Raw genomic sequence first — 21,343 nt, 5'->3', positions numbered from 1 at the left:
GTTTTGACATGACCATGGTTAGAGTTTATAGTTTTGATGTGAACTCTGGGAAGGAAAAAAAACAACTTCATCTTATTGGAAGACCCAAAAGCAACAGAACAAACTAAAGATACTGTTTGGGGTGTTGTGGGATACTAAGGCATACTCCAAGTTTTCTACCTGGTTTAGCCAACAAAGTAAACCTACTTCAAAAATAAGCAGGTGACTTAGGTTGCTGTCTCTTGTAATATTTACTTAATCCTTAACTCTGGTTCTTTTATTTTTTACTGTGAAACAGTGTGGGCTGGGACAGAGCTATACAGTGCTGGAGAAATACTCTGAGTTTTGTAGTGTAGACTTTGTACGAGATAACCATGACGTCTGTTCAGAGAGCACTGTGGCACATGATACTCTACTGGCTGTGGCCTTGCTGTCAGCCCTCTGATGTCCTGAACAGGCCCCCTGAGGTGCAGTCAGGCACTGATGGGATAGGCCAACCGCCAGGCTGAGAGGGGCTTCGTGTTGTTTTGAGGAAGGAAAATTAGATCTTGGCCCCGTAGGGTTTCATCAACAAAAATAATTATATAGCCTTGCCTGATCCTTGACTTATGACTCAGGACAGAGAACACAGCCTGAGGGTGGGAGAAACTTCGATTCATAAACCATCTTGGCTACATTCTACCCTGTTTAACATCCATTTGAAAATTTCATGAAGGGATAAAAAGGACTGGGGAAAAGAAACTTGGCAGAGCCAAGGTGCTAATGGTTCGCTGAATCAGAGCAGATATGAACTCAAATGTGAACTCAAAAGCAATCTGGCCTGGGGGTGATGGTGGCAGGGGTCGGGGTGGGGGAGCACATCATCTGTGGGGGAGTCCTGGTTTGTGCAGGGAGAACAGGTGGCACATAGAGCCAGCTGGGGGACAAAGGACCCAAGGACAAGGAAGAGCAATGTTATCTCCCACTACTCACTCTAGTGGTGCTTCTCAAACTTTAATGGGCCTGCAGACCCCTCAAGGATCTCCTTAAAGCACAGTCTGATTTGGTAGATTTCGGGTGAGACCCAGATTACGCATTTCTCACCAGATCCCAGGTGATGCTGTTTGTTGCCTTTGAGTAGCAACAGGAAAGGGGGGAAGCCCATTTCTGTGCTAGCCAGCATCCCATTAGAACCCAAATGCCTCCAGCACAGAGGAAACAGGCCAAAGTTACTTGTCTCTGAATGAGCAAAAGTCTGAGCTTTTTAGGCACAGAAATAGCAATCTCAGAGAATTCCAAGTTTTTAAAACCAAAGTGGCCTGAACCTTTCTAACTTCCCATCTGCCAGCTCCTCACAGGTGCAGTCAGGTGAACAGGTGCAGTCAGGTGAACAGGACCCTCAGCTGAACTATAACCTTGGGGAGACCTCAAGAACATTTGCAATCCTGGAGGTGGTTAGATATAGAGAATGAACCTCATACACAGTTTATTTGAAAAAAATGCTAAAGCCAAAGTTCCTGTAATCCGGGCAATTTGTGCCTCAAAGCCTCTGAGGCCAGGCAGATAATGGGAGAGTGTGTGGCCTTCGGAAAGGAGCCCCCCGCTACGGGCTGCCATGGGGAATGTGGCTCATTGTTGACGCAACAGCAAATCCAGAGCTCTGCACAAACTCTCCCGATTTAAAAATTCAATATTAAAAACACTGTTGGCCACATTTGGGCTGCTGTTTTGTTACTTCCTCTTTAAAGAGTGCTTCTGGTAATGAAAAAGAAAAGGATAGTTAATGCCTAATTAGTCTTTAAATTTTAAGTAGGAAAGAAAGCACTGGAGTTAGAGCAAGGGCCCTGGGAACTGAACACAACCTGGATTCACCCACAGAAGTTTCTATGTGAGAATGAGTAATTCCCCTGTGTCTCACAGCAGGAAAAGGGGGGTATTGAAAGAGCAAGGCTGAGTAATTCAGCTCTAAGTCACCTAACATCTAAGTGTCTTGATTTTCTTATCTATAAAAACAAATGTGTTCAATCTGGTGAGCTGAAAAATGTCTTTAGCTCAAACATTCTTGGGAGCAAATAAAAGAAGCAATTTACCTTTGAAGTTATTAAGAATTCTAGAACTGATTCTTCTAGCTTCCTAACATGCCAGATAACAAAACGTTTACAATATGTGTAAAACTGTTCTCTGGAACACTGCTTTTTGATTTTTCTGGTAATAGTATTTGTGCTTACTAACTTTAAGCATCAGGTTCCAACTTGACTCTGATCACTCTCATATCTATACTCTTGGCTTCCCTTTTAAGAACAGTCGCATCCTTGTCTTTGAAGTAAAAATGCAGTTTCCCACGGCAATGTGAACTTTTGGATTCTTTACAAATGGAAGAGAGATTCATTTACAATACAAGAGTACTGACTGAATTATGGCTGTGTTCAATTAATTAGTACCTATTGGTGGAGCAATTATGTGTAAGACGTAGAAAAATCCTGAACTTAAAAAAAAGATTCAAAATGCATTTGGTAAATGTGAATCGAATGAATGATGTAGAAAATAAATTTGGCAGGACTGTGGCAAAGGACTTGAAGGTAAAGGAAGGGTAAGGAGGAGACAAACTCCAATAAAGACCCAGGAGGCGAGGGCATCCCTCATCAGGGCAGCTTTTGAGTTCATGGTACATTCAAGACACTCCAGTGGCTGGTATGGAGTGCTAGGGGACAGCGGTCAGAGGCCAACTAGGTGTAGCGGAAAGGCAGATGACTTTGGATTTTATTGGGTAATTGAGCATTGGTGACATGGTCATACTTGTATTTTTTTAAACTCCCCTGGCTGCAGTATGGGGACAGGATGAGTGGGGATTAAGTGTGGCTGCACAGAGGTGAGTCAGAGCTTCCCAGGGAAGGGGTCATGGCAGCTGGGCTCTGAGCACCGCCCAATATGGCACTGCCTATGGTTCTGCCCCGTAATGGTTGAGTAGCCTTGGGCAGTTCACTTTATCTTCTCGTGCCTCAGATTTCCCATCTGGAAAATGGGGATAGCAATAGTACCTACCTCTTGAGGGCTTTTTGAGTGGGTTAAATAAGAGCACACAGGCATTTTCATTCACTTCACTCTTAGCAGGAGGGTGGCTTTAGGGTGGAGAAAAGAGTGGACAGTTTCAAGAGATGTTTAAGAGGCACGCTGGGCTGAACTGGGAGACAGACAGGATGCAGAGGGTGAGGAGGTACATGTTGAGGATGAGTCGTTCCCAGCTTCCCACTTGACTACGGAGAAGTGGTTGGCAGGAAGTATACACTCTCCCCTCCAATCCTTGTTCCCTTCTTCCTCTGCACCCTGGGCTTAAGCCAAACAGAACTACAACTACAGTGGTCCCTCCACACCCACTGTGTCCATTCCTGCTGCTCCGTCTGCCTGAGCCATTTTTAACCAACAGCAATGCCATTCCATTGCTTCCTTTATCCATTTTATTTAGACATTTATTATTATTATTATTATTTAAAACAGAGTCTCGTTCTGTTGCCCAGGCTGGAGTGCAGTGGCACAATCCTGGTTCATTGCAAGCTCCGCCTCCTGGGTTCATCCCATTCTCCTGCCTCAGCCTTCCGAGTAGCTGGGACTACAGGCAGCTGCCACCATGCCCAGCTAATTTTTTTTGTAATTTTAGTAGAGACGGGGTTTCACCGTTGTTAGCCAGGATGGTCTCGATCTCCTGACCTCATGATCCACCCACCTCGGCCTCCCCAAGTATTTATTCATTTTAATTCATAATATATGCTATGCTTTTCAACATCTTCCCTTTTCCTTCTCTTCCAAGCACATCATCACTTTCATTAACCCCTTTTATACTGTGAGCATAACTTGTAAAGAATGCAAAAGTAAGGGAGAAAAGTGAAAGAGCGAATGGAGGAGTAAAAGGCTGACCAAAAAAGACTGACTTTGCACACTATAAATTGGACAGAAAGTATGAAATCAGAGGGCCAACCATCTGGAAACATTAAGTCAAAACCATCACCCTTTCAGGACCTGCACTTTTCCAATTACTGAATGCTGTGTCTTTTTCTTTCTTATCTCCATGGTGAAATCCCTCACCATCTATAATTCTGATGCCTGAATCTTCTCTTTCTGACCTTAGCATTGCCATCAGCAATCAGCTCCGGATTGCAAGTAAAATAATCTTCTTGACAACAACACTATCATGTTATAAATTCTTTAAAACCACAGACTTTTCCTAATAATATTTAAACTTCTCATTCCAGTAGTCTAGTCATATTTTAGCGTATTCTTTCAGCTGACTACAGTAGGTCTTCCAATGTTATTTAATAAAGTATCCTCTTGCTCTGTGTTTCCATTATTTTGTTTTAATTAGGCACTTTAATTTTTTCGACAAGATGAGTAAATCATTTCTCCACTTTTTCAGCAACCTTTTAAAGTCTTGTTTCTTTTGACACATCTACTCTATATGACCAGAGGATGGGAAGCAAATGTTGAACCAGGTGTAGAGATGCAGGGAAGGCCAACTTTTACCTTCTAACGTTTTTACAGATACAGGTCAAGGAATGTCCACCCCAGTGGTGCTCCTGAGGTGTGCTGAGGAATACTAGTGCAACAGCACAAAACTCACACAGGCGTGTTGATCAAACGGAAAAGTTATTTTGACTTAAGTGAATATGCACTACGTTGTGACAGGATCCTCCAAGTGGCAAGTCAGGAGGGAGTGGACTGGGTACAGTTTGTTACCCACAAAGGTTTCACAGGATGTCAGGTGGGCGAAGCAAGCTAGCAAGTCTACTGGAATGGGAATAGCTTTGCCTAAAGCCCTTCACTCGGTGCTCAGTTACACAATGGTGGCCATAGCCTCCTCTCATCTCACACTGGCTGGGGCTGAATTCAAGGCCACCCAAAAAAGCCCAACACAGGCCCCTTGGAGCTGAGGAGCCTGGGAACTGGCTTATACCTCCAGTCTGAGAAGTCTAAGGGCAGAGTCTGTAATGGACTCTCTAACCAGATCACACAGGCAGGATGAAGCTGCCTTTCCACAGGCACAAAAATGAGGGTTTGCTCGGCCCACACATGTGCCGGGGAAAGGTGGTCTAGGAGTATTCTCAAAGAAGTCCCCTCAAAGGAGGCCAACAGAAAACAATGTCTGCCCAAAGCCCTCCTCTGAGAAGGCTGGGGGCATCCACTAGCTGAGCAGAGGCGTGGCTGCCTCCACGGAACCCAAAAGCTCCCAGAGAGAACCAGCTCTGAAATGTGCCATGCCCAGGGGACATTGATTCCCACTGCAAGAGCCAGGGAGAGAAACCTTGTCACTTCCGCTGAATGCTCTGTCCGTCCCTTGCTCATTACGCAATGCAGGGTCTGCCCAGTAGAGGCTGGTAGAGCCGTCTGATAAGGAGCAGGAGAGGAGCTGGAGCAAGTAAAGGGGAAAATGATGCTTCTTCTTCACAGGGTCTCCAAGCCAATGCGGCCCTGAGCTGGGAGAAGAGAAACCAGTTTAACTGGACCAGAGGTGGAGTTTTGATCTTGATGTGAGGCAGCACTCTTCCAGGTCTGAAACTGATCTGGGGACTAAATTATTGAAGACGAACTGAAAAGGCTACAGGTCCTGTCTGAGATTTCATCCAGGCAAAGAAATGAGAATTCAGTGGGGCAAATGCTTAGGGCACGGAAAAAGAACACAGGACACTTGACCCTGAGCAAGTTTCTCCAGCTAGTGTACCTGAGTTTCCTCATTTATGGAACATTGATAACCATGATTCCTACACTTCACTGGCTGGGGTGAGAATTCCTTGAGGTGACACATGAAAGTGCTTGGTCAGGAGCTCAGCCCAGAAATTGTTCAGTAAACGTAAGCTGTTTTTTTTTTTAAGACGGAGGCTCACTGTGTTGCCCAGGCTGGAGTGCAATGGCGCAATCTTAGCTCACTGCAACCTCCGCCTCCTATTTCAAATGATTCTCCTGTCTCAGCCTTCTGAGTAGCTGGGATTACAGGCGCCTGCCACTACGCCTGGCTAATTTTTGGTATTTTTAGTAGAGACGGGGTTTTACCATGTTGGCCAGGCTGGTCTCAAACTCCTGACCTAAGGTGATCCGCCTGCCTTGGCCTCCCAAAGTGCTGGGATTACAGGCATGAGCCACCGTGCCTGGCCAATGTAAGCTATTATTAAATGCTGTCCCCAGTGTCTGCAACTTGGCATTGATAATCACCATCATTAGATTTCAAGGTTTATGGTAAATGAATGATCTTTTGTCTTAAAAGGATTCCATTACTCTCAAGTGATACGGCCTGTGCTATTTCTGTCAAAGAGGATTGACCATGCAGTTTCTGGCTAAAAGGTCACTTGTATGACCCCATTTTTATTTGAGTTACAGAGAAAATATGTAGTTTCAAATTTCAAAGCAAACAGTTATGTGAGTGAAACAGGCTAGAGTAAACAATAAAGCCATTATTACAAATGAAATCTGGTGGTAGGAGAAAAATAGCCGGTCAAATCTCAATCCACGATGGATTCTTTACTTTAATGTCATTCTCCAAGGTCATTTAGAGAAGTCATCCACATGCTTCATTTTCATTTGTAAGTAAAGCCATTAACAAAAATGTTAGAAGTTTCTTTTAAAATGTTTTCGTCCTATTTAAGACAACTACAATGAAATAGAGAGTCAGAAAAAAATTTCACATTTCCAGTTCGACATTCTTCCTTGGCCTAAGGTAAGGAATGTGTTATTATAAGAGGGCCCCTAACTTGCATCAGTGAGGGGGAGCCTTGCCTTTTACCTGGGATTACAGAAATCAGTGCTGCGCATAACCAGTGCCAAGAATCACTTGGAAATATAATGACTTGCTTGATGAAAATTACTTTAAGTAATTAAAAAGCAGGGCCACTAGAATTCCTTTACGCAAATACAATAAGAATGCCGCCCTATCCAAACAAACATAAAATGATCCCCCTTTCTGCCAGTGTTTCCTCTCCTGTGGAGAGCTTTATGTGGCTTCATGCTCAGTTGTGACAATGTGTGAGGCCATGACCAAATATTAAATGAATGTGGAGTTCAAGGGACCACTGTCATTTTTTACAGACTAGTCTACTCCAGTCACAGAGTTTATAAGACTTGCTGGGCCGGGGCACGGTGGCTCACGCCTATAATCCCAGCACTTTGGGAGGCCGAGGTGGGCAGATCACGAGGTCAGGAGATCGAGACCATCCTGGCCAACAAGGTGAAACCCCGTCTCCACTAAAAATACAAAAATTAGCTGGGCGTGGTGGCACGTGCCTGTAATCCCAGCTACTCAGGAGGCTGAGGCAGGAAAATCGCTTGAGCCTGGGAGGCAGAGGTTGCAGTGAGCCGAGATCACATCACTGAACTTCAGCCTGGAGACACAGCTAAATACTCTGTCTAAAAAAAAAAAAAAAAAAAAAAAAAAGGACTTGCTGGCTACTGTAAGTCTGAGAGTTAGTGGATTCCCCATTTTGGGTGAACCAGGCACACCTTCCAGCAGTAATAACAACTCAATGAACTCGGTGATTATAAACTCTGGTAGTAACTCCTGCAGTTTATAAGTCTTTGTGCTGTGAGTTCCCACACCTCATCTCAGCGAGCCTCCTTAAAAGGCGGTCTGATCCCCTTGTATAGAGGAGAGGGTGAGTACTGGTGAGTGGCAGAGAGAGCCCAGACCAGAACCCAGGGTGGTGTGGATTTGGGGAGCCGTGCCCAGTGCTTCTACCAAGGTCCATTTTAAGGGTCCGCACTTTGCATGTTACTGCTTTCTCCTTTAGCTGTGTAAACTTGTACTCTAGGGCAAATCTAGCACAAATGATAAAGTTTACTGTGCCAATATATACAGAACATTTATTTTTGAAAAATATTTTAATTTCTAGTAAACAGCCTTAGGGCAGAAGATGATATTTACTCTGAAATAAAATGTGTGTTATAATAAAATTATGAAACATTTAAATTTGAAGGGAGAAAAAGCAGTATTTTGGGTGAATTCCTCTGTGAGTGTATTAGATAAATTGCTACAAAAATTATGTTAAAAAATTACCTGTTAGTAATGACCACTTCCTATTAAGCACATACAATGTCCCCAGAACTGTAATAATGCCCCATTAGTAATGACCATTTCTTATTAGGCACATATGTTGTCCCCAGAACTGTAATAATGCCTTTCACACATTTTTGAGTTCCATCCCGTGAACATCCCTAAACCAAGTGTTGTTATCCCCATTTTACAGATGAGGAAACTGATGTCCAGAGACATTTAAAGAGGATGTCTAAGATGTTCAGCTATGGAGGGGCAAGGGCTTCATACCAAAGTGGGTACAAGGATGGCTTGGCCCACCCCACCTTATCACAGTGTTGTTTCAGCTGTTAAAGAGATATGTATGAAGCACCAAATGTATTTTTAAATGCTTTATATTAAAGTAATATGGCTCAGGCACCCACACTAATTATATTTTACTTCTGAAAATCTACTCTTTTGACCATTCACTGTTTAGTATTAATACCAGCTTCCTCCAGAGGGTGAAGGACGAAAAAAAGCCTTGATTTTTTGTTAAACCAAATAACCATGCTACTTGTTAATAGCTTAAATGCACAAAAAAGAAGGTAAAATGTTTATAAACTGAGTTCTGTTCATTTTAAATTTTCCTTCTTTACGCTGCTGACTGTGGATCTGTCAAAGTTGGCTGAACTTTGAAGAAAATAATGAAAGATTTGAAAAAGAACAGTAACATAAGACTGTGGTTTCATTCTATCTTACTGCACAGAGCATATGAAGAGCAGAGATCACCTAATTTTACTGCTATTTTTAGTAAAGCCCTCAGCTATGCACATAGTAGGCATTATTTCAAATGTTCCCAGAGTTGAACTAAAATGTTAAGCATTCAGTAGAATACCTAGCACACCCTTTCATATTGTAAAGGCCCAATGAAAATGTCAGATAAAATCTTGGGAAGTGAAGTTGGGAATGTGTATATATTTGAAACGATACTCCAAGTACCTCCTTTTGATTGGAGTAATCTCCAATATAAGGCAAATACATGGAGACTGCTTATTCACCACCTAAGAAACACATTAGCACTGAATTCTGCTTAGAGCACAAATAAGGGGCAAAAGGAAATGAATACAAGGTAGAATTTTACAGCAGAACCAGTGAGTTCACTTAAAAAAATAGTGAATATTGTTGATCTCATTTGTCAAAAAACACCTAGAATTATTTTCCATCTCTTGAAGAGTTCTTTGTATAGCAGTTGTTAGAACAACTAGTTCTTTGCCTTAAGTATATTCTGAAAAGAACAGTTTATTTTTCACTTCTGTGGATTCAGACTGAACTGTGGGATAAATAATCTTCAAAATAAGACACGTAAGACGATAGACACCTATTTATTGCAGCACATATTTTCATCTTTCCAGCACTTAACGTGTCTTACATAAAATCATTTTCAAGCCTAGAATGTTAAAGGTAAGGTTTCATCACAATTTGCACTTGAAATATATTTTTGGGTTCAAGTGACAGGAAGCTCAGCAATGACTAATAAGTTCATCCACCTTGCCCAGGCCCAGTTCAGCTCTGCCATTAAGCTCCTTGAAAGGAAAGCAGCAGACGTGGGCTCCACTGGGCAGAGCTAGGTTGGGTCCAGCTGTGCCTAAAGGTAGACACTGCCTTAGGAGGGAGAGGAGAGACTGGTGTCAGGGGGATGTGGGTCTGTGACCACAGGCTCTGTCCCCTCTATCCAGCCTCCCCTGACCAAGATGCCCTCCTCCTTCCCAGGCTCTCTGATGCCTGCCTCCACATTCTGCGCTCTCTCCTGGAATCTCCTCCCCTCCTTGAGTCTTCCAAGCTGAAAAAAGAGTTAACAAAACTACAGGGAAGTCTTTTCTGACCTCTCCCTCTGAGTCCCATCCTTCCTCCTGGGCTCTTGCCTTACAGTCCTCATTCCCGAATGGTGAGTGGTGGTACTGACCCTCCTTCCCCAAGGATGGGACACCGGAGGGCAGCTGCCTGGCTCCTGCCTGCCCAGAACAGCAGATACTGGCGGACAGCAGAGTTTGGAATCCCTTGTAGAGATTCTCGTGTGACATGTGTTTAGTTCAGGATGTGCCTTTGCCCCAAGATAAAAGAATACAAATCTAAAAACCTCACCTAATGTATTATGAAAGTGGCTTTGTTCACTTACCGGCCTCCCCATTTGTGCCTGCTATCAAAAAGAAAAAAAAAAAAAACAAAATCGAGCTCACTTAAGAGGCTCTCTAAGGATTATAATAATCTAAAACCAACATTAAAAGTAATCTGATCAATACTTTAAAAAATTACAGACATTGCTGGGAGGGCAAAATACATCTTTCATTAGACATGAAAACTTTGCCTTCAATATACATTAAAATAAAATGTACTTTTTTTTACATGATTCCATCATGCTTTTATGTTAAAATGATACCACTTGCTTCTATCTTGATTAACATTTAAGCTTCTCACTCTTGTTTACTAAAGAAAAATAACTCCCCAAAGTGAAAAAGGGAGTTGGCTTTTAGAAACAGTTATTTTATTCTCAGTCTCTAGCTTTCTTGTTGTTGAGTTAGAAATGAAGTTTTCTCCTACGTTTTAACAAGAAAGAGCATAATTTTGCTTGCAGTATAAGGTAGTTGCTGATATTTGGTGCCTCATGATCTCTTAAGCTTTTGATTTTGGGCACAGGCACCTTCAATTTAAGAAGAGGAACCACAGCAGCAATCATTTGTTGGCCGCCTGTCAGCAGCCAGACCTCATGCCAGGCAGGGTGGATGTCTCCTATTTACCTGCCCTGCCCAGCACCTGTCATTCTCCCACTTGACAGATGGGGAAGCAGAGACATGGAGGGTCTCAATGACTTGCCTGCGGTCAGTGAGCTGAAGGAGCTGCTGTCCACCTCGGGGCCATCTGTATTCTAAGCCTGTGCCCTAAGACTGCTCTGGATGGTCATGGAAACATCTGTGGCCACAAGGACTGAAGAGGGGCCAGACCTGAACATCAGCCAGGAAGGAAAAAAAAAAATACTGGCCAGCGCCCCCCTCACCACCCCCAGCCTGTACGATGCCAAGCCCCATGCTGCTTTCACAGCAAAACTCCTTCCTGCTACGGTGGAAGAGTGTGTACCTACTACAGGGAGAAGCCGCGGTTAGGAGTACTTGCTGTGCTGGAGGATACATCAGTGAGGGGGAGTGAGAGGCAGGAAGATGATGTGAAAACTTTTTGAGGAGAGGCATTCATAAAATATAAAAAATAGGCCCAATGAATCCAATATGAGGCAGTGACAATAAAAGCTCTTTGGTGAGATTCTCCAAGGGGATCTCAAAATGTGGCGACACCCTCCTTCGTGGAAAATAAGTATTCTAATATCTTTCTAAGGAAATTAGAATATATTCTGGGCAACAGAAAACCAACAGTCTAGTCATGACCTGATTAGATAAAAATCAGCTTATCCTGGTGAAGCCTGAGCCCATCTCTGGCGACAGATCCTTCAACCATGCAGACCCACGCAATGCAACTTTCCCCTAAGCTCTGCCCTCAAGGGAATCACTTCAAAGGGAACCTGTTTAATCAAGTTTATATAGGCAGAAGAACTAGAAGGCAGGACACCCCCACTAGAGTATTTGTTCATTCAGCAAGTGTTTACTGAGCATCTACAAATGTGCCAGGCAGTGAACAAAATAAACACTATGTGGAGCTCACATATATGGCAATCAATCAATTAATCAATGGATCAATATAGTATGTAGTATGACAAGCATGGGTGCTGAAAAGAAAAGCAGAGCAAGGATTTACTAAGGTGGAAATTACTGTTGACTTAGATAAGAAGGGTTTTGGTAAAGTGATTGGCAGGGTTTCAGGAGAGATGGGAAGAATAAAACAGGAGACGGTGATATAGGTGGCTTGTTTCATGAGTTTGGAGAGGAGGTAATAGTTAGAGGCTGGTAAGCAGAACCAAGAGAGGATATTTATTTTTCAATGGTAAAAACAGTAGCATGGGCTGGGAGCAGTGGCTCATGCCTGGAATCCCAGCTAATGGGGTTGCGGGGGAGGTGAGGCAAGAGGAATGCTTGAGACCAGGGGTTCGAGGCTGCAGTAAGCTATGATTTTGCCACTACACTCCACCTGGGCAACAGAGAAAAAAAAAGGCAGCATGTTGGGAATGACACAACAGAAAGAAAAATGCATTGATACAGGAAAGACTTTACACTAATGCTGAGAACAGGGGGATTAAAATGTGACCAAAAATTTGAACCCAGAGAATAATGACTTATAGGTGTCAGGCGGTTATATGGGATTTTTCTTAACTGGTCGGTGGCGTTGGAGGAGAAGGCCTTTTTAATCATAAGGGCTCTAAAGGAGTGGCAGTGAAGAGAGCTTCTGTGGGATGGGGCCTGTGCCTATATGGATTGCTGTTGGAGGCTGAGGGTGGGCACAAGGCAGAGAGCATGAAAAGGAAGACAGTGATACTGTTGTGGGAATATTCTTAGACGCTGATGTGTAAACAACGGCCTCATGGTCATGGAGGCAAAACCTAATAGGGACAGGTTGCTGCAACTCTCCATTTGCTAGACATCTGGCAGAAGCAAATCATCTGATGAGTGATAATTTCATCATCTGTAAGACAGAGGAAGAACGTACTGCTTCTGTGAACTTAAAGTTTATCAACAGGGAATCAGATCCTAGGAGAAAACAGCTAAGAATTCATAGAGTAATATAATAGCTAAGGAAGGGATTCAATCATTCAATTTATACTCACGCTGGGCACTGTTACTAGCACTGGAGGTATTGACATGAATGGAAGAGACACAATTCCCTGTTTTTGTGGCATGCTCAGGCATTCACATACATTCCACAGAACAGATTGCACAATTCAGGGTAGAGATGGAGGAGATTTTATAGTTGGATTCTAAGGGAAAATGTAAACTGTGCCTATAAGGAGGAAAGGCTGGTGTGACCGCAGGTTCTAGGTCCTAGGGTCAGAACATGTGAGTCCCCTCCCCCATTTACCACTGCATGACCTTGAAGAATCGTCTCTCTAACTTTAGGTTCCTTAGCTGTGCCATGGGGCTGATACCAGGACTCATGATCGTAGAGGCGGCAATATATGTTAGCTACTGTTCTTTTTAACGAACTGGAGAAAACATTATCAGATGAACATCATAGACTATAAAGGCAATTTGCAGATTAACAGAAGGAAGAATTTTTGAACAATTCAAACTGTTCAAAACTAGAATTCATTGGTTTTTAAAGAAGTGCTAGCTTTTTATCCTAGGAATGCTTCATGCAGAGGTAGACTTAACATCTGTTCAAGAAATTTTAGAGGGGATTCCTATAATGGGTGTAAGGAGGAGGCAGGTGAATGTCAAGTTCCTTTCTAATAGGTTCTATGTTTCTTTGAAACTTCTACTTTCAAAGCAAGAAGAAAGGAACATGAAGACAGAACATGAAGGCAGAATTTTAAAGATAAACTGTAATAAGAATTTAAGCATTAAAAAAATCATTGCAATATATTAAGAAAGTGACAAGAATGTTTTTGATAAGTAGATTAAATCTAAGAAAAAAAAAGACAGTAAAGAAGAGGGAGGTTTAAGCAGACTGGATGAAAAAAGTAAGAGCGGAAGAAAGAAGGAGCAGGATGCGGGGCATCTCATCAGCCGTGGGCACTGGAGACCCTGCATGGGTGTGGCTCTGCCTTGGTAAGCTGTCAGCCTTTTGTTCCTCCCTGTTCTAGTAGCCGCAATCTGTGCCAGGGTTGATCCCTCACATCCTTTATGGTCCTGAGCCTCGAGCCTCACATACTTCTCATACAGCATGTATGAGAAGGTACAGAATGTGTACAGTGCCTCCAGCAGCGCCTTCCTTTCCTCCAGGCCAAGGGAACCACTGGACAGGAGCCATTTATTGGGCTAAAATACTACCAACAGGGGCCCCGAAGGGGGTGGCTGACTGGAGAACGGAGGCAGCTTCTAATGTTATCGAGAGGTGGATGTTTCTGCAATAAACTGTGCTAAAAGGTCATGTTATATTTGCATGTAATGTGTCAGCTTATTTCTGAGATTATGATAGTCTTTGGAAGACATTTAGCCAGCAATTACAGTTCAGTAATCACCTTGTTAATTCTCCAGTTGGGACACAGTACCCCTGAGGCCACTGGCTCAGAGCTGAGATGACATCAGAGACCACTGGGTGTAATGCTTGCCTCTCCAGACCAACTCTGACTCAGGTGGTTTCCCTTCCATTAGCCTAGAGGGGATCGAACTCTTTTGTGACATTCTTCTTTCTTATTGACTATTAGAGGGAAGATGTTGAATGTTTCTCTTTTGTTTAATAGCTCTAAAGATAGACGGAGTCTTTTAAACCTTCATCTATTTTATTTACTAAGGCATTCTGGATCACTCCCAGCGTTGTTTCTAGAACTCAGGAGGTGAAGCTTTCCTGTGTTTACAAGGATACTTGAAAAGACATTTCAATAAATGCAGCCAATACGTCTATGAAGAGCCAATGATTCCTTTTAGCAGGCTAAAACTGACCACAAAAGAAAAGTTATCCTAGGGAGATGATGGAAAAAAAAATATAAAACTTATTGTTTGTCTCAGAAAATATTTCTAGTCTTTGGACAAAGAACTACTCAAAATGCAATTTCTCATTTTTCAATGCCAGCTTTTTCAAACATTATGATCAACAGCAAAATGTGACCTACTTCCTCTGATACCTCAGAAAAGTGATGTGTCATCCCCAAATCCATTTCCCCCACTTGCAGGGCAAAAGACAAATACTTATACAGCCATCCTTCTCTGACAGATGAGAAGGGCTCTTTTAATCAACATTCTCAAAACACAGTTAATTTTTTTTTTCCTGAAAAGTATCTATCAAATGTTTCCCTATGGCTGGACAATTTAAATAATCCTTGGGTTCAGCTCTCTAACTGAAACTGAAATCCTAGAGTAGACTGGGGAAACTCAAAACAGGGCCTCACAGGGTGCTGGTGAGGGAAGTGATGTAAGGATTACAGTGATTTTTCGAAAAGTAGAATTCTCTGAGAGCACTTGATGTGAGAATCCTGATGAAACCAAAGAAGGCCCTAAGACCCCTAGGAGGCCGTGGAACACTGAACGCAGAGCAGATGCAGGACTCATGTTGGTCTAGTCTGAATCCTGCTTCCCTGTCTTTTAGCTCTGTGACTCTGGACAAGAGAATTCCATTTGTGTGATTCCCTTTTCCCATGTGTTAAATGGGATAATAACAGCACCTTCCTCACAGGGTGATAGTGAAGGTGATATGGCGTGAAGGCTGGAAGACACTGAGCACAGGGCCTGTCTGTCATACAGAAGGTGTGAACTATATTTTTATAGTAAAACGGTTATTTTTAATTGGACATACTGACAGTACTTGTGTATTGTGAGAAAAATCACTTCCCTGGTCAATCCATCCAAACACATGCAAATTCTAGATGTTCTTGTAAAAATGAAATGGATTAAAAGAGAATCTCCAAAACCCCTTATGGAATTTGAGAACCACTGCGCTAAACCTGTTTACTTTGAGGAAATCTGACATCTTCACTAGGTTGAGCCTTCCTGTCCATAAATAGGGATCTTCCTCTCCATTTATTTAGACTTTTGATTTTTTTCATCAGTGTTTTGTAGGTTTCAGCATATAAGTTCTAGATGTGTTTTATTAGATTTATTTTTAAGTATTACATTTTTTTTGAGCCAATGTAAATGGTATAGTATTTTTAACATGAGTTTCCACATACTCACCACTATTGAGAAATACAATTGACTTTTGTCTGTTGATCTTATATTCTGCGAACTTGCTGAACTCACCTTTTGGTTCTAGGGTTTTTTATTTACATTTTTGTGTAGATTATTTGAGATTTTCTATGTAGACAATCATATAAGACAAGATAGACAATAAAGAAGAAGCAGGTGTAAGAAAAGTGGGCCAGATGAAAATGAGGGAGAAGGTCAAGCAAAACCTCCCATCAGTTATTTGCGAGCTTATGCAAGATTATGCTAAAACTTATATGGAAAGGCAAAGGAGTATAATAGCTAAAACAGTTCTGAGATAAAAGAATAAAGAATGAGGAATCAGTGTACTCAATTTCAAGACATTATCTAGCTACAGTAATCAAGATTGTGGTATGATGGAAGGACAGATGCACAGATCAGTGGAGCACAACATATAACCCAGAAAGAGCCCCACACAAGTTAAGCCAACTGATTTTTGACAAAGGTGCAAAAGCAATTCAAAGAAAAAGGACTGGACTTTTCAACAAATGGTGCTGGAGCAACTGGATATCCACAGGCAAAAATATAAACGTTGACCTCATACCTTTTATCTCATACCTTATACAAAAATTAACTCAAAATCATAGAGTCAACTGTAAAATAAAAAAATGTTATTATTAGGAAACAACAAAGAAGAAAATCTTTAGGATCTGTGGCTTGATGAAGGGTTCTTTGATATGACATCAAAAGAGTGATCCATGAAAGAAAACTGATAAATTTGACTGATTAGAATTACAAAAACTTTTTATCTGTGAAGGGCTCTGTTAAAAGGATGAAAAGATAGGCAACAGACTGGGGAAAATATCTGCATGATATACATCTGACAAAGGGCTCATATCTAGAACATACAAAGAGTTCTCAGAACTCAACTTTAAAAAAACCAAACAATCCAATTGGAAAATGGGCAAAAGACATTTCAACAAAGGGCATATAAAAAGGGCAAATAGACATATGAAAAGATGTCAACATTATAAGACATTAAAATCTATCACTATTCATGAATGAGCTATCACTACACACTTGTTAGAACAAGTAAGATTAAAAAAAAAGAGAGAGAGACACACCACCCAATAAATGCTGGCAAGAATGCAGAGAAACTCTATCACTATATGCCTTGATAGTAGGAATGTAATAGTGTAGAGACACCCTGGTAAATAGCTGGGCAGTTTCTTGAAAAACTAAACATACACTTACCATAGAACCCAGCAAGTGCACTCCTGGGCATTTATTCCAGAGAAATGAAAACTATATCCACACAAAAACTATACACAGTTGTTCAGAGCAGCTTTACTTGTAATAGCTCCAAACTAGAAGCAACCAAAATGTCTCTGAATGGGCAAATGGTTAACTAAACTATGGTATATCCATACAATGGCTGATACTCAGCAATGAAAAGGAACGAACTATTGAGGCATGCAACGACTGGGATGTATCTGAGGAACAGCTGCATGAAAAAAAGCCAATGTCACACAGTCACATACTGTATGTATATAACATTCTCAAAATTAGAGAGATGGAGAACAGATTTAGTGGTTTTCAGGAGATAAGGATGAGGAGTCATGAGGGTGCTTGTAAAGCACAGGATCTCTGTGGTACAGAATAGGATCTTGATTGTGGTGGTGGTTACACAAATCTATGCAAGTGATAAAATGAACTATACATACAAGCTCAACTTCCTGGTTTGATACTGTACTATAATTATATAAGACATATAGCCATGGGAGGGTACCGGGTGACACATGAAACTTCTACCATCTTTGCAACTTCTTGTGAATCTGTAATTTCAAAGTAAAATGTTTAAAGAAAACAGCTGGGGGAAGAGACAGAGATCCATAATCTGCTTCCCAAATAAAGGAACAATCATGATTTTAAAAAATAACAAGAGGTTAAAATTACAATGTAAATTGACATGTTTCTCAGGTCATAAGACATTTTATATGGAGAAATGGGCTCTCACATTTGTCATATTTTAATATTGAGAAAATAACCTAGGGTCAAACTTTGGCCTAAAAATCAGAAAAATGAGACTATCTCCTAAATTGTTCCAAAATTTTAAAATGAAGTCTCTTTTTGAACAAAAAGTCTTTTTCCATTATTATGGTTCAGAATATGCCATGGATTAAAATGTTTTTTAAATAGTACTGAAGGCAATAAAGCACAATCATATGAAACGATTCATGTCTATGAGGATATTAAATTGACACTGCATTGAGAAGATGAGATAAGAAACAAAAGAAATTTAACACATTAATAGTGTTCTTTGAAAGAGTTTCTCAATAACTTTCTTTTTTTTTCTTTCTCTGTCACCCAGGCTGGAGTGCACTGGCGGGACCATGGCTCACTGCAGCCTCAACTTCCCAGGATCAAGTGATCCATCCACCTTAGCCCCTTGAGTAGCTGGGGCTACAGGCATGCGCCACCACGCCCAGCTAATTTTTATATTTTTTGTGGAGAAGGGTCTTGCCATGTTGCTCAGGCTGGTCTCGAACTCCTGGGCTCAAGCTGATCCACCCACCCTGGCTTCCTAAAGTGCTGGGATTACAGGCATAAGCCACTGCACCTGGCCTCAATAATATTTTCATGTACAAATTACAATAATCTAAGCAGAACAATTCTAGATTTCAATGATTTCTTACTGTAAACTGAAGTGCTTTAAAGTTATATTTTGATAAGAGATTTTAAAAAAATCAGCACCAAAGAACAAGGATTTGGGGCAGAGTTGACGTTGCGGTCTACCAAACGTAAAAAGAATCATTTTTCTTTAAAAATTCCTCATTATCATGTAATCTATTTAGAGGAACTAGAGTCAGAGATACCATATTTGACATTTCCTAAGTCTCCTTCATGAATTCTACATTTTAAGTGACTATTTTAATAGAGATGAGTGTAGAGTGATGGGAAAAGTTTTGAAAACAACATACGCTTCTAGGTTTAAGTTCCACCTAAATATGCAAGTCAGTTCTAGTATCAGTGATGCAAACAGGGTGGCTTTCTCATCCTTTAGCATCTCCCCAAAATGCATCAGGCATATTTAGGATGCGCCTTCCTACCTTCCACCTCTCTTCACATACATCACTAGAGTATGGGTTATGACAGCATTTCTGAGATTTAAGGACTATAAACAAGGATAATGAAAAGCTCAAGTGAAAAAGGTTGCCTGTGCAGCGTAACATGAAATCCCAATCTCTATTTGTAACTAGGCTGTTCCATCTGTTTGGCTTTGAGATGGAAGCATTTCTGGTAGACAGTGCAACCCAAGAATTGATCCACTACAACTCCTCTTAGCAATGGTCTGCTGTGCTTTGTTACCAGAGAAGCTGAGGGTTTCACAATTTCATTGTCATTAGGGACGTGAAGAGCTCCCTCTAGTACAAATCATCTTACTGTGGGCTGACTGAGTAACCCAACGAATCCAGTACTGAATGTTCTGCCAGTATATGTGGCCTCTAGTCAGTAAAATAGAGCCCAATCCTAATTCAACCTATTGAACAGTAAGATGTTAATGGGGAACCTAGCCTTCCACTTTGTCTCCTTCACTAGGTTGACACTTTTATTAAATAATCAGAAACAGAAACAAATAAAAGGGAAACAGGGTAAAGTAGGCTAGCAGAGATATAAAAGATATAAAATTAACAAGACCTTTGTCCTACATGGATATCTTATCCTTTGCATTTGTAAAGAATCCGAAAAACACATATTCTATATAAATAGAACAAAATCAAATCCCTGTCACAAACACTCTTAATTAACTCAGAAATCTGCTTTTATTCTGTCTTCCAAAGGAAGTATGCGCAGCGGGAAAGTGTACCTCAGAATCTAAATCACGACAGCTACGAAAACAAGTCTGGCATAGCTGACAGATTTTTTTCTCGATGAGTATTTATAAAGGAGAAGTCATGCTTAATCAAATAATTTATAATTACTATCTGTATAAAATCTTTACCATATCATGTTCATGTACTACAGAATTTAGCATTTTCTGCATAATGGGTTCTAAAGATTATAGCATCATACACAGAATATTAGATAAATAGTCTGACTGCTATCATTTAAATAATGTGTAATTATACAAAATCAGTGATTAAAAAGTAACCTTAAGGTTACTTTTGGTTCAAAATGGTAGCAAGATTTATTTAGTTTATCTCTTTTTATTCCCAACTCCCTGTTAAAATGAAAATAATAAACACAGCAGAAAGAATAAGAGAGACACAAAGTGTACAGATGAATTGGAACTAATCTCACAGGACGGTGGCAATCATTCGAAGTGTCTGGGGAAGATCCCAGGGAGAAGTGAGTGCATTTGCCTGGCACCACCCCCCAAAGAGCAGGAACTGAGAGAGTGTGGGCTCAGAAACAAAGTTGAAAAGACAGAGCCTGTGAAGCACCAAATAGAGCAGTAGTGGGCTCCTGAAACCCCACCCTAATATGGCAGTGAGGCAAGCTCCCACACCACTTGCCACCTCTGCCAGCATCCAGGGGGTCCTTGGCAGGCGGGAGCAGTTTGATAGCAGGAGGACTAGGGTAAAGGGAGCCTTCAAAGGGTGGGACCTTTAGCTCCCCGCTCTGCTGAGCTCTCATAAGGCAAGGAACAGAACACAGGATGCTTTCCAGAAAGGAATTATTTTTCCCTCTGAAGAAACTGATCAGCCCTAGGAAGGTATGATCTGGGGGAGACGCCTGCTGAAGTTAGGGGTTCTAATTTGGAGAAAGTCAGCTCTGCATGTGATTTCATACAGCACACTCCATCATCAGCAACTCCCACCTCCACGCTGAGATTCCGCTCTGAGTTTTAGGAACTCCCTTTTAAATGGTAATGGGCAGCCAAACCTCTAACATGAAAGGCAGAGACTACTCAAATAATCAAACAGAACAAAAGCGACCTGAAGGAAAACAAGATATGCAAAGGACATTTGCAGAGAACTTCAAAAGGCCTAGGAAATGAAATAGAGAAAAAAGGGAAGTTAGTGCAGCCCTAAAATAAAAAGCAAACGCACTTAAAAAACCCAACAACAGAAAAAGGCAAAAATAAACTTTGGAAATTAAATATATACTTAAAATTTAAAGATTCAATAGGTGGGCTTGAAGAAATATCAAAGAAGTGTCCTAGAAAGTAAAATGACAAAAGTTAGAAAACAGGAAAGAAAAGATCATAAAAATTAGAGGATCCATCCCAGCAGATGCAGTAAGCAAGTAATAACAATTATAAGCAAGGGTAATAGAAGATGTTGAAGGGGAGAAATTGTTTAATAAATAATATTAAAAGTTAATCAGATGAAGGGATACAAGTACTTCTAGGGCTGGAATATCTAGAGAATAAAGAAACAAAAAATCCACAGTAAGGCAAGTTTCTGTAAAATTCCAGAGCACCAGAGACAAAGAGAGGATCTTAAAAGCTTCTAGAGAAAAATCTGGGCACATTCAGGAACCAAAATGGTGCTGTACTTAAAAAGAGCATTTAATGTCTTCAAAATTGAGGGAAATTATTTTTAAGAGATAATAATCATTAACCTACAGTTTTATGCTCAGAGAATCCTTCTTCAAGCAGAAGGATAGAATAAAGATACTTGTAGATATGCAGAGATTAAAAATATACTTTCCA

The 21,343-nt window shown here is 41.1% G+C and overlaps 1 protein-coding gene across 6 annotated transcripts in view, besides 1 other annotated feature; it reads right to left on the bottom strand.

Annotated features, from left to right (window-relative positions):
* FAM110B (family with sequence similarity 110 member B) overlaps positions 1–21,343 on the bottom strand; it is a 154,262-nt gene that overhangs the window by 5,409 nt on the left and 127,510 nt on the right. The window lies entirely within an intron of this gene.
* Positions 20,330–20,949: an enhancer, noted in NCBI's record as "OCT4-NANOG-H3K27ac hESC enhancer chr8:59034986-59035605 (GRCh37/hg19 assembly coordinates)". NCBI's record gives its function as "activates a minimal SCP1, AML or CMV promoter by ChIP-STARR-seq in naive H9 embryonic stem cells {active_cell/tissue: H9 hESC(naive)}" and the evidence as "EXISTENCE:reporter gene assay evidence [ECO:0000049][PMID:30033119]".

This window comes from Homo sapiens, chromosome 8 (genome assembly GCF_000001405.40).
Source record: "Homo sapiens chromosome 8, GRCh38.p14 Primary Assembly".
In the NCBI taxonomy this organism is placed as follows: Eukaryota; Metazoa; Chordata; class Mammalia; order Primates; family Hominidae; genus Homo; species Homo sapiens.
The sequence above is the reverse complement of the archived record's forward strand: the minus strand, read 5'-3'. Positions and strand labels throughout refer to the sequence as shown.